This window comes from Homo sapiens, chromosome 1, assembly GCF_000001405.40.
Source record: "Homo sapiens chromosome 1, GRCh38.p14 Primary Assembly".
In the NCBI taxonomy this organism is placed as follows: domain Eukaryota; kingdom Metazoa; phylum Chordata; class Mammalia; order Primates; family Hominidae; genus Homo; species Homo sapiens.
Genome location: NC_000001.11, coordinates 205,936,719 through 205,951,825, shown reverse-complemented (window position 1 = coordinate 205,951,825; position 15,107 = coordinate 205,936,719). Strand labels below are relative to the sequence as shown.

General features: G+C 52.8%; 1 protein-coding gene and 1 long non-coding RNA gene across 7 annotated transcripts in view; one reads left to right on the top strand and one right to left on the bottom strand.

The window, feature by feature from the left end:
• Nucleotides 1-15,107, bottom strand: part of SLC26A9-AS1 (SLC26A9 and RAB7B antisense RNA 1) — a 43,183-nt gene that overhangs the window by 26,270 nt on the left and 1,806 nt on the right. The gene's annotated exons all lie outside the window — the stretch shown is intronic.
• SLC26A9 (solute carrier family 26 member 9) overlaps nucleotides 8,370-15,107 on the top strand; it is a 30,405-nt gene continuing 23,667 nt past the window's right edge. For all 5 annotated transcript variants that reach the window (XM_011509121.3, NM_134325.3, NM_052934.4 and 2 more), the window contains exon 1: nucleotides 8,370-8,461. The gene's annotated coding sequence lies outside the window, so the exon portion shown is untranslated. The remainder of the gene's footprint in view (nucleotides 8,462-15,107) is intronic.

The following is a 15,107-nucleotide window of genomic DNA, read 5'->3' as shown; positions in this document are numbered from 1 at the left end:
CCACAGTCCAGTGAAGACTCAGCCACATGGCCACACCTCATTACAAGGAAGGCTGGAAAGTAGAGTCCCACTTGGCCACCACGTGTCCTACCACAATGCAGTCTCTGACGGTGGATAGCTAGCAGTCTGCACCATAGCACCATCAGGGTTGGGACAACACAGTGTGACACAGATTGGAGAGATGCCACGACCCACACTTCTGCATGGTACATGATGTGGCAGCTGGTCATAGTGTGCCCTGAGATGCTGGGCCCTCAAGGGTTGGAGCTCCGGCACATGGCACCAGAGCAGGAGAGCAGAATTCTCAGGAGGGACCCTGTCTTCATGACCCATGGGCAAGAGACAGTAAGAACAAGTCTGGAGCAGAAGAGTCTACCCAGAGACACCCCAGAGACTCCCAAGCATAACCACGGCAAACTATAGCTGAGGAAGGACACGAGCTCTGAGTCAGAGGGAGGGGACACAAGCCAGCAAAATGTGGGTAAGTCGCAATCACATGAGCTCACCAGCTGGTGGGGTGTGGCTGCAACTGAAGCACATCTTTGGAACCCTTGGATCTCCAAAGAGCATAACTACAACCACAATAAATTATGGTTATTCTAATTGCCCAGGGGCAGGACTCAGGATGGGACGTTCAGTCAACAGGTAAGCACTCTTGTTAAAATGCTTAGTATGTTTTGGTCCGCAAAGGAGACAAAACAAGCAAACATCCCAAATCTTATGCTCCAGGAATGAAGCCTCCCATTAGAGCCAAATCCCTGACAACATGTGGTCAAGTATCTAACTGCAGTTACCACCTGAGAGTGCTGTGGGAGTGTGGGTACAACCAGAGCACACGGCAGTCATCAGGGAGATGTGGCTTTAGCTGAAGTGCTGAAGCCGAGGCAAGAAGGGAGAGCATTCCATCCAAGCTGGATGGGGAGAGGGCATAGAGAAAGGGCAGTGTTAGTGGGCTGGGCCCTCTGGGGCTGAGAAGTGTTAGACCTTGAGCTAAGTGCTTTTCATGCATTACTTTGTTTAATATTCCCAAAGTCACTCTGAGGTAGGTGCTGCTGGTACCCACATCTTGCAGATGAGGAGGCCAAGAGCTCAGGGAAGTTTATTAACTCACCCATAATCACACAGCTTGTTTCTGGGGGGGACAGAGCCAATCTCAGGACACTCCGGTTGCACACAGAGCCTGCACTCAGTCTCCTTGCCAGGGCCAGTGGGGGTGTCAGAACTTCTCAGGCAAACTTGCTCCTGCCCTTGGCAAACAGCCCCAGATGGTCACATCCCAGGCTGGCGAGTCCCTGCTGCCTCTGAGCTCCCTGCTCGGTGGAACAGCTCAAGTCCTGCCCGCAAGCTTGGCGTCCTGCCTGCCCCCGAAGATGTCTTCAGCAGGAATCACAGCCAATGAATGTACCAGCAGGACAAGACAAGCTAAATGCTCAAGAGGCTCCCAGGGAACAATGCGGCCCTCTGAGCAGGCCAGGCCAGAGCACAGTCCTGGAGGGCTGACAGGAATTAGCCCCAGCTGACCAAGAACCCACTCACTCGGTGACCTGTTTCCTGTACTCTGGGGGTGAAGGTACTTCTTGAGGGTTGGACCCCAGCGCCACTCAGCCAGCCTTTGTCACACCTACCTAGGGCCTGCCTGCTGTGCCGGGAGACCCAGAGAAATGGCCCCAGCTGAGGTCCCAGCAGGCCAGTCCCTGTTTTCCTCCTCTACCCTCACACTGGGCCCACTTTGCTCAGGGAATCCCATGCACAGTTCACACTTGACTCCAATCCCAGTTGGAGAGTGGAGTTTAGGCTGGTCAGGGCACCTGAGTGTGTCCCAGACTAAAGCCCTGGCTTGGTTCCAGTCTCCTTCCTAGGGTGGACATGCCCCTTCTCTAGGGCTGCAAGCCTATCCTTGACCCTGCTACCAGCTCCGCCTTAGCCCTCAGTGATCAGTTCTGGCAAGGTTGCTGGAAAGGGGGAGGGTAGAATCAGGGAACTAAGTACCCTGACCTTGGCAGGTAAAAAAACCCCACAGCAATAGGAGGTTTACTTTGCAGAGGGGTGCTGATAAATTTCTGGACTTGTCCCCCAAACTCTCATGGTAGACACATGCCCCTCCACACTCCCTTCCCTCCAATGTGAACTGGAGCAGCCCCTGCTACAAGACTCTGTTCTTGCAAAAGCTGCCTACACCTGTGGGTCTGGCTCTAGAGAGTCTGGTTTATTCCTTAGGCAGGAAAGCTCCAGGTAACTAGAAGGTGAGAGGGCTCAGCTGCATCCACGGCTAGGCAAAGGTCCACTGGTCACCAGGGAGCATGTGGAGGTGAGGAGGGAGGAAGAGGAAAGGTGTACTACATACACAGGTCCCCCTCTCTTTTAGAAAAGCATTCTCACTCTTGTTCAAAATTCACACTGCAGACACACATACACACATTCACTCACACCCTTTCCACTTGGCACCTTCCAAAAGGAGAAAAGGCAGAGGGGGCTGGGGCTCCAGGGCTCAGGTGCAGGTACTGCCACCATGGTTTTGCTCTGCTGGAGAAGCTTGGGTGGGGAGCCTTCTGGAACCCATTCTGCCACTTGGCTGCATCTCTGGGAGATTGTGAGGCAAGACCTGCAAACAGGAGCTCTGCACTCCTGGCTCCCTGGGACAAGGGAGCAAGGGCCATTCATTGTGCAGTTGAGAAGGGCCTCGCCTAGCTGGGGTATGGCTGAAGGGCTGATTACACTGCACTGTCAGAGAGATGATGGAGATAAGCAGATGGCCATGCCACTAGTGGTCATTCCTGGGCCCTGTCTTTGTGCCGGAAGGAAAGGAATTCACCTTACAACCGCACCTCCTTTTTTGCCACTCAGCCCCCTTCACAGATGAATAAATTGAGCCTGGGAGTTTAATACTTTGCCCCAGGTCTCATGACTAGCAAACCCCAGAGCTAAGATCTGAGGCTAAAGTTTTCTTTCTTCCAGTACATTCTGATGTCTCACAAGTGCTTGTGATACAGTCCCGGGCCTCAAGGAACCACTGGGAGACAAAACTAACCTAGAAGACCTAGAATACCTCACTTTCCGCCGGCAGTGTGGTTCAGACTGCACAGCTGTTGGCACTCAGAAAACAGAGGTCTGTGTGGTCAGGAGTCACCAGGGAGGAAGAGTCAGGTGGATTGGATCAGGTGGTGGGTATTAGGCACCTTCCAGTCTCAGACTCTTTCCTGGAGAATGTGGAATAGGAAGAGGGAGATGGGAAGGTATCATTTTCCTATGACTTTACTGCAGTCAGAAAAACCACCTCTGCCATAATACCCTCGCTGCCTAAGCCAGATCCTAGAGATAGGGTGAGGCCTGGTGCCCAAGATTCTCAATTCCATGCTTCTCCAGCTCTCTCAGTTCTCCCTGAATTGGGGGTCTACATCCCCTGCTTAGAAGCAGCCCCTACACCCAGGTTAATATGTGCTTGGCTTAAGGTCCCGGTGTCAGGATTGCAGCCAGGAGGCCCATCAGTCAACATTAACCACCTGGAACTCACCTCCTCCTTAGCTCTAGCCCCAGTCTCAGCATTCCCAGGGCAGTGTGAACTGCCCTGAACACCCTCACCCAGGCCAATTTCTGGTTCTGAGCAGAATCATTTCCTCTTTCTAGAAGCTGCAGGACCCGCCCACCTAGGAGTTGTATCCTCCTGGGCTCCCAAGCCCTGACACTGCAGACCTGCTTCCCCCACACCCCCAACCCCAACCCTAAACCACTCCTAAAGGAGTGCCGAGTTCAGATGGGCAGAACAGTCCCTCTGCAGCGGCAGCTGGCATATGCCCACCTCGGAGCCCAGGGTGTGTCTGGGTAATGACCGAATGGGGAGTGGGAGGAGGTCCCCACATGACTTCTTGCCCTCTTTGTGGAGAGAGGGCTCGGTTTGTGCTCCAGGGCCAGGGTGGAGGGATAGGATGGGGTCCTGAAGCAGGCACCGACCTGAGCCATCTCCTCAGCTCTGCCATTATCTCTCTCTCGGTGACTTTGGGCAGGTCCCTGGCCCCCTCATATGTAAAATGAGGGAGGTGAACCAGATGGACCCTAAGGCCCCTTCCTTGTCTCCCGTTCTATGGTTTGTGCCACGTCCTTTCCTCCGGCCTCAGATGTGCAGGGATCATGGTCAATGCTGACCTGACTGTCTCCAGACAAGAACTGTCCAGACCCTCGCCACCTCAGAGTCCACCCTAAGCTTCCTCCTAACATATTGTCCCCCAGCTCTGTCATTGTGTGTATTCTAGAAGCCTCCTCTGCCTGCTCCTGCCAGGGTCTTGATCTCCCAAGGACTGGTTCTCACTGGGTCTGGCGTGCCCAGTGCCTAGCACAGTGCTGGGCACATGCTAGGAGTTCCCTGTGTTGAAAGACCAAGCACTGGCTGGCATCACCCTACTCACCTTGCCTTCCATGTCTCCTGACCAGCCTAAGATACTCACAGCTGGGGTACTTGAGCCCCTGGGCTTCCCAGGGGAGAGAAGTGAGGATTCGCTTCTCCTTGGGTACCTCTGCAGTCCCACCAGTCCTCAAGCACTCATGAAACTGGCAGCCGCGCAGGGCCAGGCCAGATCCTGCCACTGCAGGGCAGGGTGGTGAAGACTTTGCTGTCTTTAGCCTTAAGGTATTTGCTTAAGTCATTGGGCTGCTCTGCCCAAAACATGTTTCTGCCCACACCCTTGGCACCCACACAGGGCACACGTGCAAGAAGCCAGCAGGTGCAGATAAGACCAGAGGCTCAAGGATAGACAGAGGTGGCAGAATTTGTCTCCTTTTTGCAGGTCTAGCCTGAGTTTGCTCATCTGAAAAATAGCTGTTTCTTAGCAAGATCAGCTCAGAGGTGAGATGTGTCAGGAGGGAACCTTAGGAATACTTTGGGTTTATCTGCATAACTCAGTGTTACGTGTGACTGTTCAGTGTGACTGTGTGTGTGTGTGGTCGCAAGCTTTGGATCACAGGGGAACACAGGGATGGGCTTTAAGGCAGAGAATCTTGGGTGCGTTCAGAAGTCAAAGAGGACTTGGGAACAAGCTGGAAATCCCTTCTAGAAACAGTGCTTTCAGGGGCAGCCGCCATCCTACTTCTTCCTGGGAGTCCTTCCCCACCTGGGGTCTATAGCTCAGGTGTCCAGGCTACAGCTGTGACTGAGCTTCCTGCCCTCCTCTTGTTGGAAGACTTCCCGGCTCCTTCTCTGTCCGCTGGAGGGCTGATCTGGGCACCTCTCCCCTGTACTCCCATAGCACCCTATGTTCCATGCTACAATGGTTTCTTCGCCTTCCTGTCTTCCTCACCAGATTGTGAGATATTTTCATGACAGAGATTGTGTCTGATTTATTTCATTTTCCCCAGGACAGGATCCTGGCACTTGATAAGGGGTTTCCAGTGAATGAATAAATGAATGAATGAATGCAGCATCCCACCCTAGGGCTGGGGGTGAAGTAGGTTGCTTCCGAAGGATTCTCTCTCCTGCTCCAGAGAGAGGCATAGGGTTGCTGTTCATCGCTTTCATCATGAAACACAAATGATTTAGCAAAACTCTAGGCTGAGCTGCTATGGCTGTTAATGTGTCCTTGGCTCCTTTCTCTGTTTCTGAGTCTTTGTCTCCATCATTTTTCTCTGTGTTTCTATTTCTGTCACCTATCTCTCCATATCTTTGTGTTCCCTCCACCAACCCTAAATTTGTCCACACTTTAATTCTACCCAAGATACCCCTAAGATGCCTTTTCAGCCATCGGGGCACTCCCCCTTCTGTCTTCTGTTTCCCTAGCCTCTGATCTGGTTTCCTCCTTCCTGGGCCTCCCACCAATGACCAGCCCCAGATTCTGAGGCCCCTGTCCATCTTCCTTGGTGACTTCAGAGGAATCTCTGGGTTCGTCTATCCCTACTGCCCCTATAATGCAAGGGCTACCTGCCCAGAATTTTGCTGAGACAGTAGAAAAGTTTTGAGGAGGACAAACAACAAGTTTCCAATTCCAGCATGTATCCTGGAGGCCCCAGACGTCTTCATCCAGGTTACATTAGGAGTTATACCAGCAAGGGAGCCTAATGGTATCTAAAAGGTATGGTCTTTTGTAGGATCTCATCCTTAGCTTCGCAGGCTCAAAGGTTAAGATGATATCGTAGACTAAGCAGAGGATTTGAAGCCATTTTAGCCAAGTTAGATTCCTGCCTCTTCCATTCAGATCTTTGTGATCTTGGATAAGTGATTTCACTTCAGTCAACTCAGTTTTCTCATCAAAAAATGACAGTAACATGCCTATATGTTTGGTATAAGAATTAAACCAAATCACCTGTGGGAAAACCAAGTGTTACTGTGGAAACTAGGTCAGACTCAGGGGATACTAACTCACATTAATAAAACTCACACTGGACCAATGGGTAGCCCAGAATGTCCATGGGTCATTTAAAAGAGAAGCATGCCTGCAAAAGCAGCCCTAGTCGCTCCAACCAGCTGGGCAGTGCATTCTCTGCCCTAAAGGACATACAACCAGAAGATTCCCTGGTGGACATGGTGTCTCAGCAAGGGGACTTAGTTGTTTGATCTTGATAGCCACTGTCACCTGGCTATCGGAAGAACATAATGACTCATCTGCTTTCTAGGAATTTCCTGGGCAAAGTTTAGAACAGGTCAGGCTACCCATGACACTGGACAATACTGAAGATGCATGGACAAATTCTCGCCCTCTGGCTTTGCTTTGTTTAAAGACTCTATCATACAATTGTTCATTCATTCCTCAAATCTATATTGAGCTCCTCCTAAGTGCCGGGCACTGGGCTAGGTGGGTAGGGATACAAAAGAGGCACTGCCCCCTTGCCCTCCTCAGGGAGTTCACGGTGTTTGCAGAAAGACTGACAATTCCATACATAATTACCATTAATTGTGGTCAGTGTTATGAGAGTGAAGCAGAGGAAGCCAGAGGAACGAATGTGCAACATGTCAGCTAAGTCCACATAGGGGTCTGGGGAAGGGCTCCCCGAGGCAGTGTCCATGCACACATCCTTCCCTCAGCCAGGTGTCAGGGCACACTTGGGTCACTTGAATTCTGGCTCTCTTCAGCCAGTTGTCTGGCTACACCCTGACAACTCTGAGTGACCTCGGGTGTTTCCCTAGTCCCCACAAGCAATGCATCTACAAACTATCCCTTGGGTTGGGCTTGCAGACAATTCACTCTTTCATTCATTTAACAAATATTTATTGAGTCCCTATTAAGTACTGAAGCTAGCTCATTTCACCATGGGGAACTTTCGCCCCAACTTCCAGAGGTGCCTTACTGAAGCCCCCTGCACTGATTCCAGCCCACTTCAGAGCCTCTGGTTTCTTTTGGAGAGATGGGAGGACAGTTGAGGACGAGGACAGTGCAGCACTTGATGTCTCAAAGAATGGGCACCTGGTGTCGGGTAGTGACTCTCCCTCCCAGGAAGTAAATTAAGAAACTCCCCTACCCACCCTCCCAGCCCCTGTCCACAATTGCTTTCTGAGGTCCTTCCGTAGCACTCAATGGGCCTGGGATGGGCAGCTCTGCTGGCAGCAGCCGGAGCAGTGCCATGACCCAGGGAGACATTAATTCCTAGAAGCGGCAGAGGGCTGTGACTGGAGATTTGCTAGCCTTCAGGTCGCCTCTCATATAATTGTTCTAAGTCCAGTTTCTTGAGCTCTTTTATCAGATTCTAAACCCCTGTGTTCTCTTTGCACACTACCTGAGGGGCCAGGAATAATTTCCCCCATTGCACTGATGGATAGACCAAGGCACAGAGCTCACAAGCAACTTAACATTGGGGACAGAACTGGGAACCAGGTCTCCACCACAAACCAAAACCGCCTAAAGGCTCCCAGGGCCTCCCAGACATGGTTCTTCCCCTTCCTCAGGGGTGTTCAGAGGACTACTGTCTTCCCACCCCCTAGATCTCCAATCTTCAAAGCAAGCATCCCCAAGAGCACACCCCTCAGGTGGCCTCAATAGCTCCCATTGTCCAAGAGGCTCTTTGGCCTGACCCCCAGCCCCATAAGCAGCAGGACAGCAAGCTCAGAGGAGCTTGTCCTGCCTTGTCCCCCTCCTCTGCCTCGTCCCCCTCCTCCAGGGCCGCCTTGGGGGAGCCGGTGGGGCAGGAGCCCCGCTGAATGTGACCTATTGTCTTCGGGGTGGATTTAGGAAGTGCCAAGCTCCCATCACACAGCCCTGCTCCCCAGGTAAAACAAAAAAAGGGCTGTTCATTTGGGACCTTTTCCCCCTTATCTCCTTTTCCTATCTCCTCAGGCTTAGCTATGGTGTAGTGTTCAAAACCACTTCCCCTCTGAGCCAATCAGAAGCCGGGGCTCACCCCGTGGCCCTGAGGAAAAGTTATTTATAAACGCCTCCCTGGATTATTTGAGCAGAGCCCTTTCACACACCTCAGGAACACCTTTCGGCTGCCCGCTCCCCAGACACACCTGCAGCCCTGCCCAGCCGGCTTTGCTCACCCACTGGTAAGCCCCACCCAGCCCAGCCCACCCCACTGGGCTGGGGTCATCCCTGCAAGAGGGCAGTCACCAGGGGTACCGAGAGGAGGGATGACAGGAACCAACTGCCAAGCTGAGCACAAGTAGGAAGGACACTCTGGCCCCTGGAGTCTGAGAGCAGCCTCCCAGCCCTTCCCCTCTGAGGAGCCCTTTGGGTCTTCACGTCTATGTAAGGACCTGGGCTGCAAGGCTGGGCTTGACTGAGGGAGCAAGTAGGGTGAGGGTGTGGTGGTCGCCAGACCCCGAAACAGAGCGAGGCAAAGGCCTCCGAGGGAAAGGAAAATGTTAGACCTTCCTCCGCGACAGCCTTTGAAGCTGTGGGCTGCTCCTCTCCCTTTCTTTTCAAGTCTTGGAGGGAAAAGCTCTTAATGCTTGACTCACCAGCCTACTCTGCATGGCTGTCTCCCCCTCCTTCTACCGCCCAGACATCCTCCTTCACTCATGTACTTCTCCACCAGCTCGGGGAACTTAGCATGGACTACACAGAATCCCATGTGTCCCCATTAGTCCTGAGAAGTTGGAAGAGGTGGAGGGGGAGGAAACTGAGGAGTGGGAGAGGGTGAGCAAGGGACCAGCTCCATCAGGCAGGCGGGTGGGCGGTAGCTGGACCTGGGACGCCCGACTCAATGGTGAATGCTTCAACACAGAAGGGCTTGGGCCAGGACAGTGGATGGGCAGCCAGCTCTCCAGGCTCTCAGCCTCCAAACCCCTCATCCTGCAGCTCCAAGGGGTTCCAAGCCACTCTCAGGCAGTGCCCCCATTCCTCAAAACCAGCCCAGAGGGTCCCCAGCTGAGACCTAACAAAGCTTCTATTATTCCAGCATCAACTGCCCCCTTACACTTGGCCCCACGGGTCTGAGGACCAGAAGACCCTGGAGTGACGCAGCCCCCCAAGTGGGCAGACTGAGAGAGGGCTTTCCCCCTGAGTGGCTTCACTCATGCAGATGACCCTTTCTCAGAACCCCACAGTCCTCCCCCACCTCCCTCATCCTGGCCCTGGCATCCAGAACCTGGCAAGACCCTGCTTGGGCAGCATGGAGACCAGCATGGCCAAGAGCACCTCCACTGCCAGGAAGGCCTTCCCAGGCACTTCCCAGAGCTAGCCACCTGCTCTCTGAGTCTCATTTGTATAAACCCTGGGGCAGAGACGGACTCCTCTTTATCTTTTAATGCCCAGAGTCTTCCGGAGATTGGCATATACCCAGTATTCAAGAGTGCCTCTTAAACCGTACTAAACAGCCAGACTGACCCCCGTGAACTTGCTGGGGGAATCGAGGACCAGCTCAACACTGACCAAGCTTTGGGGGCTGTGGGGTCACTACTTGGAAGATGGAAGGGGCAGAGCCACCCCTTCAAGGGGAGTTGATCTTCACTGGATGCCTCTCTGGGCTTTCGCCTGGATTTCTGGGACCAGAGCAGCTGGGCCCTTCACTGGTCTCCTTGCCCAGGCCCTGCTTCCAAGTGAAAGCAACCCCAGTCTCCTTAAAGACTTCTAGGAATTTAACCTCAAGTGCCCATTCCAGGGAGCCCATGACCTTGTCAGTCTTGCTGTTAGGAAGTGATTCTCAAAGTCTAGCCTTGGTCCCTCTTTCTGGAGCCTATTTCCTCAGCCCAGCACCCATTCCCAGCAGGGAAAGTGCAGAGGAGGGAGAGTTCGCCTGGAGATAAGGAGTGGGGATTTGGGGGGTGGTATCAGTGAATCTCTCTCCTACACGGGATGCAGTCTCTAAGACACCTTAGGGACATCTCATCCTCCCCTACACTGAGGAGGAAATTAGGCTGGGGTGAGGAGTAGGGAGAGATTTGCCCTGGAAACACAGGGACAGTAGAAGGAAAAGGAGTGTTTAAAAATGCCTTGGGGGGCTGGGCGCAGTGGCTCAGCCTGTAATCTCAGCACTTTGGGAGGCCAAGGAGGGCAGATCACTTGAGGTCAGGAGTTCGAGACCAGGCTGGCCAACATGGCGAAACCCCGTCTCTACTAAAAATATAAAAAATATTAGCTGGGTGTCATGGCGCGCACCAGTAATCCCAGCTCCTAGGGAGGCTGAGGCAGGAGAATTGCTTGAACCCAGGAAGTGCACCCTGTGGTGAGCCAAGATCGTGCCACTGCACTCCAGCCTGGGTGACAGAGGGAGACTCCACCTCAAAAAACAAAAACAAAAAAACAAAACAAACAAACAAAAAAGCCTTAGGGGTGCAGAGGCCTCTACATCCTTCCTCCTCCTGCCATGGATGTGGTCTCCCACTGAGACCCCAGCCAGCTTGTCTGTCCCAGCTCACATTCACACCTGGGTCACTCAGAGGCTGCTCTTACCCTGTGGCCCCCACCCTGGATGAGGCAGGGAGGCAACCAGCAGCTAGAGCAAAGGGGAAACCTCAAGGTGACCTTTCCTCTTCCCAGAACACAGCAACCGGCTGGCTAGGAACCAGTGATAAGGATGCCAGGGTGGGTTGGCCCAGCCGGGGCTGTTCCCGTACCTGGCACACATGCGTCAAAAACCCCCTCCCTCACATGCACACCCCCGACAGGACTGAGGGAGGAAGTCAGCCTGGCCCACAGTGACAGGATCACCTCCAGATCCAACCAAAACCCACAAATGGACCCCTCACAGTCCTGCTCTGCAGATGTTCTACCCTCTTCTGACAAGATTTTCTGCTGTTCCTCTCATCAAGTCCTGGGAAAATTTGGAGGGGTTAAGGCATGGGGCAGCAGGTATAGGGGCAGATGGAAAAAGGCAAGCCAAAAAAAGGCAGAGTGCCCACTAGAGATGGCAGAGCAAGAAAGAGGCTCCTCTGGAGTCATAGCAGTAATGATGATAGTTGGAGTTTATTGCATGCTTCCCATGGCCAGGTGCCGTTCCGAGCCTTTCAGTGCATCCACTCGGGCACTGTCTCTGCCTGAGCCCATCTCTGCCCAAGCCCATCTCTGCCTACAATATTTGGATGGTGTTGACAGAGACCTGGTTAGAAATGTGACTGGGAGAAGGTACCAGGGGCGTGCTTTGGCATGAGCTCATTGGAGGAGAAATCCTGGAGAATCTCAAGAGGGAATCTGCTCCAGCCTGTGCCCTCCCTGCAGGGTCTATTTTCTCTTTGCTTCCCCTCTCCCAGCTACTCCGGCTCGCACGACCCCTGCATCCCCTCTGCTCCAGATTTGACCCACTCTCCTGCCAGTGCATGGGAGTGGCCCATGCACCCACATCTCCTGCCCTCTGCTCTCCTGGCTCACCCCCTACTCCCCTTAAACCCTACAGACCCCCTCTAAGTCCCTCCAGCTCTTTAGGACCTGCCCCCCTTCCCTGCACAGTGGAGGAGGGGCAGGGTCACCCTTTTGTTTCTCAGTATTATCACATGGCACCTGCTATTTATCCCTGGCCCGGTAGGGGGATGGAAGGCAGTGGAGGGGTGGTGGGGGCAGGGCTTGTAGATACACGCCTCTGGCAATAGGGCACTTGACTTTTTTTTCCAGCGATGCTGACATCACTTATCATGGCTGTTTGTTTGTTTAACTGGGGATCAGATTGTTATGTTCCCTATACCTGGCTCTCTTTCTTGCTCCCTCTTCCACTTTCCTGCCCCTAATGTAGCATCTGGCATCGTGAGACACCCTCTCTGAGGATTCCCTGGGACTCCCATCCCTGCTAGTTCTCTGAGACTCCTCCTCCCCACCATGCCACCCACCCTTTTCCACCACTCCCATCCCCCTTCCCTCCACCTCTTGCCCTCACCTGAAGGGCTGGCTGGGGATGAAGTACCCTTGTCTTCTACGTCCCACCCCACCTCAACCCCTATTCTTGGAATTAGGAAGTATGTTGAGGGCGCCTTCTCAGCAGGAGCTGGGGCAGTTCCTGTGGCTGCAGATTTGCAACTCTGGCCATCATATTCTTGGGAAACCAAGGCCAGGAGGGAACCAGAGCCCTCAAGAGGAGTAACAGAACCCAGAGGTCCTGTCCCATCAGCTGGGGTGGCAAGGTCACCAGGGTGGTCAGAAAGGGGCATTCTGAGTGCCACTCAGGGGAAAACATTGTCCTGAGATCAGCTTTGTCCCTGGAAGGTCTGAAGCCCCTTCGAATAGGAACACTGGAGTTAAATCAAGTGCAGTTTCTTTATCTGCAAAATGAGACAATTGGACAAATGTGGTCCTCAAGTTCTCTTCTACACAAAACTTTCTGACTCTGACTGGCTGCTGGGTTCTCCTCTTTATGCAAACTCAGGATTGTGAAAGCTCCCAGAGCCTTCTCCCCTTCAGCATCCTATTCCTGGGATGGGCAGATGGCATGGGAAAGAGACAGATTTGGTATTCCAGTAAAGCAAGGGAGGCTTTTCCTCTGTTAGCCTGTGTCAGAGGGGACTCCCTAGTATCTGGTGCTCCATCTGTCAGTGAGTCTGCCCAGAGGGGCAGAGCTGGTCCTGAGTCACCTACCTGTTGCTCTCTGAAGGACTTCCACCACCCCTGCCGCTTTCCTCCCAAAGAAAAATGGCCAAAGCCAACACTAGTGTACAGGCTGGAGGGGTGCACATGGAGATCCTGGGAGAAAGAGAAATCCTTCAGGGTTTCAAGGTGGTCAGGAAAGGCTTCATAGGCAAGAAGGAGAAGGGAAAAGAGTGGGAGAGGAAGGAGAGGGTTGGAGGAGGAACTTCAACAGGTCTTAAGGATGGGCAGATCTAGAAAGGCAGAAATGAGTCAGGGCACCTCAGGTAAGGAGGAAAGTGGGAACAGAGACTCAGGCTTGTTTGGTGGGTGCAGAACAGACCAGCCCAGATGGTGTGGAGGGACCCAGCCAACAGATTTCCTGAATCCACCAATACAAGGCCAGAGGATAAAAAAACAAAAATGCCAAAATAAGGAGTTTGGGCCTCATCCTCCTGGAAATGAGGGAGATAGAGGTTTCGGAGCAGGGAGTTTAGGCTGGGTTGGAGGGGCATGGCTGGAGACCAGCAGATCAATTTTTGCAATAGTCCAAACATGAGATAAGACTTGAAGAGGGAGGCAATGGGACAGGGTGGGTGGAGGTATGGAGGCAATGGACAGGACAGAAGGACATGAAGGAAGGAAGGAAGGAAGCGAGGGAGGAAGGAAGGAAGGAAATAGCAATAGGATTTGATGAACAACTGAATATGGAGGCTGAGGGGTAGGGAGAGGACAGGAACAAGGATGGGGGTGGGCTGGGTGGCAGGAAGAAAGGTACCACTGAGGAAGTGGGGAAATCCTGGGGACGGGGGCTGGGATAGTAGGGTTCAGCGGAATCAGATGCTAATAACTCCCTTCCCCGCAAACACACTACCGGAACTTAGACCCTTTGAAAGCAGCCTAGGAACATACTTCAGGGATCGCTGCCTGCTGGTTGGTGTGGAAGCAAGATCACCCATCACCTCCTCTTCCAAAGGGCTCTTCTTTTCTGACTCAGCCCCCCTTGAAATTTTTGGCTATTTTTTTTTTTGCAAGTGGTCTGTTTAGTGGCCTGGGCTAGACTCCCCAAACCATGAGTCTTTTTCTGAAGCAAGGTCTGCAGCTCTGGGTTCCTATGTGGGGAGGTCATGCTCCCCACTCATTGAGCCCCCGCAGGCAAACCACCTGGACAGCCAGACCCATGCAGACTCTGGAGCAGGTGGAGAGGAAGAGTGAGACCACCCCGCCTCACGGGCGGTGAAGGGCCGGCAGCCTCTGAATAGTCTCTGCTAGGAGGTAGAAAGCACCCTCCCATCTTAATCATAGTAATCATCGCCACTACCATTTACTGGGTGCCTATAAAAGGCCAGCCTCTTCATACACATGATCTCACTGAATCCTCATAGCATCTGCCTGCGACTGTTATTATCCCCATTTACAGATGAAGAAACTGAATCTTTGAACCCAGGTCATCTGGCTCTCAAACTTGTGCTGTTTTCCCTAAGCCACCCGGTCTCTCATTTCTCCCACTGAAATGTCTCACATGCCATTGCCCTTACTCATTTCTGCCCATGTCTCCTCCAAAACACCATTTATCAATTCGCTCAACAAGTATGTGTTGAGTACACACTAAGGGCCAGGCGAGGGGCTGGGCACAGGCGCTGGGGGTAGGTTCATTCTCCCACCTTCGCTTCTGCTGGGTATCACCTGTGGGGTCTTGCCGGGCATCCCACCCTCACCTGTAGTTCAAGTGGACCTTGGGATCCCAAGACCAAATGAATGGAATGCACCAGCCCAGCCTTCACCAACTTGAGCACAATCTTATTCATAATAGAAACTCACATTTGCATCACACTTTACATTTTACACAACCCCTTCTTATCCATTAACTCATTTGATCTTCACAACAACCCTGTGAGATATGTCTGTTACTCCCACTTTAGTGATACAGAATCTGAGGTTTGAAAAGTAATGCTGACCATTCTGCCTCATTAATAAAAGCAGGATTAACCCAGGCTCCTGGACCCTTCCACAAAAGGCATTAAGCAACCTGCTCCCCTCTGACAACCTCCCCTGTCACCCAGGCTCTCCTCTGGGAAGTTGGGGGCATCTCTAGCCCCCAAGTAGTTACTCATTTTCAACCCCATCTCAAATCTTTTGCCAAACTGGCCACAGCCACCCCACACTCCCCACCTCCCAGATACAAATCCTCACTCTAAGCCT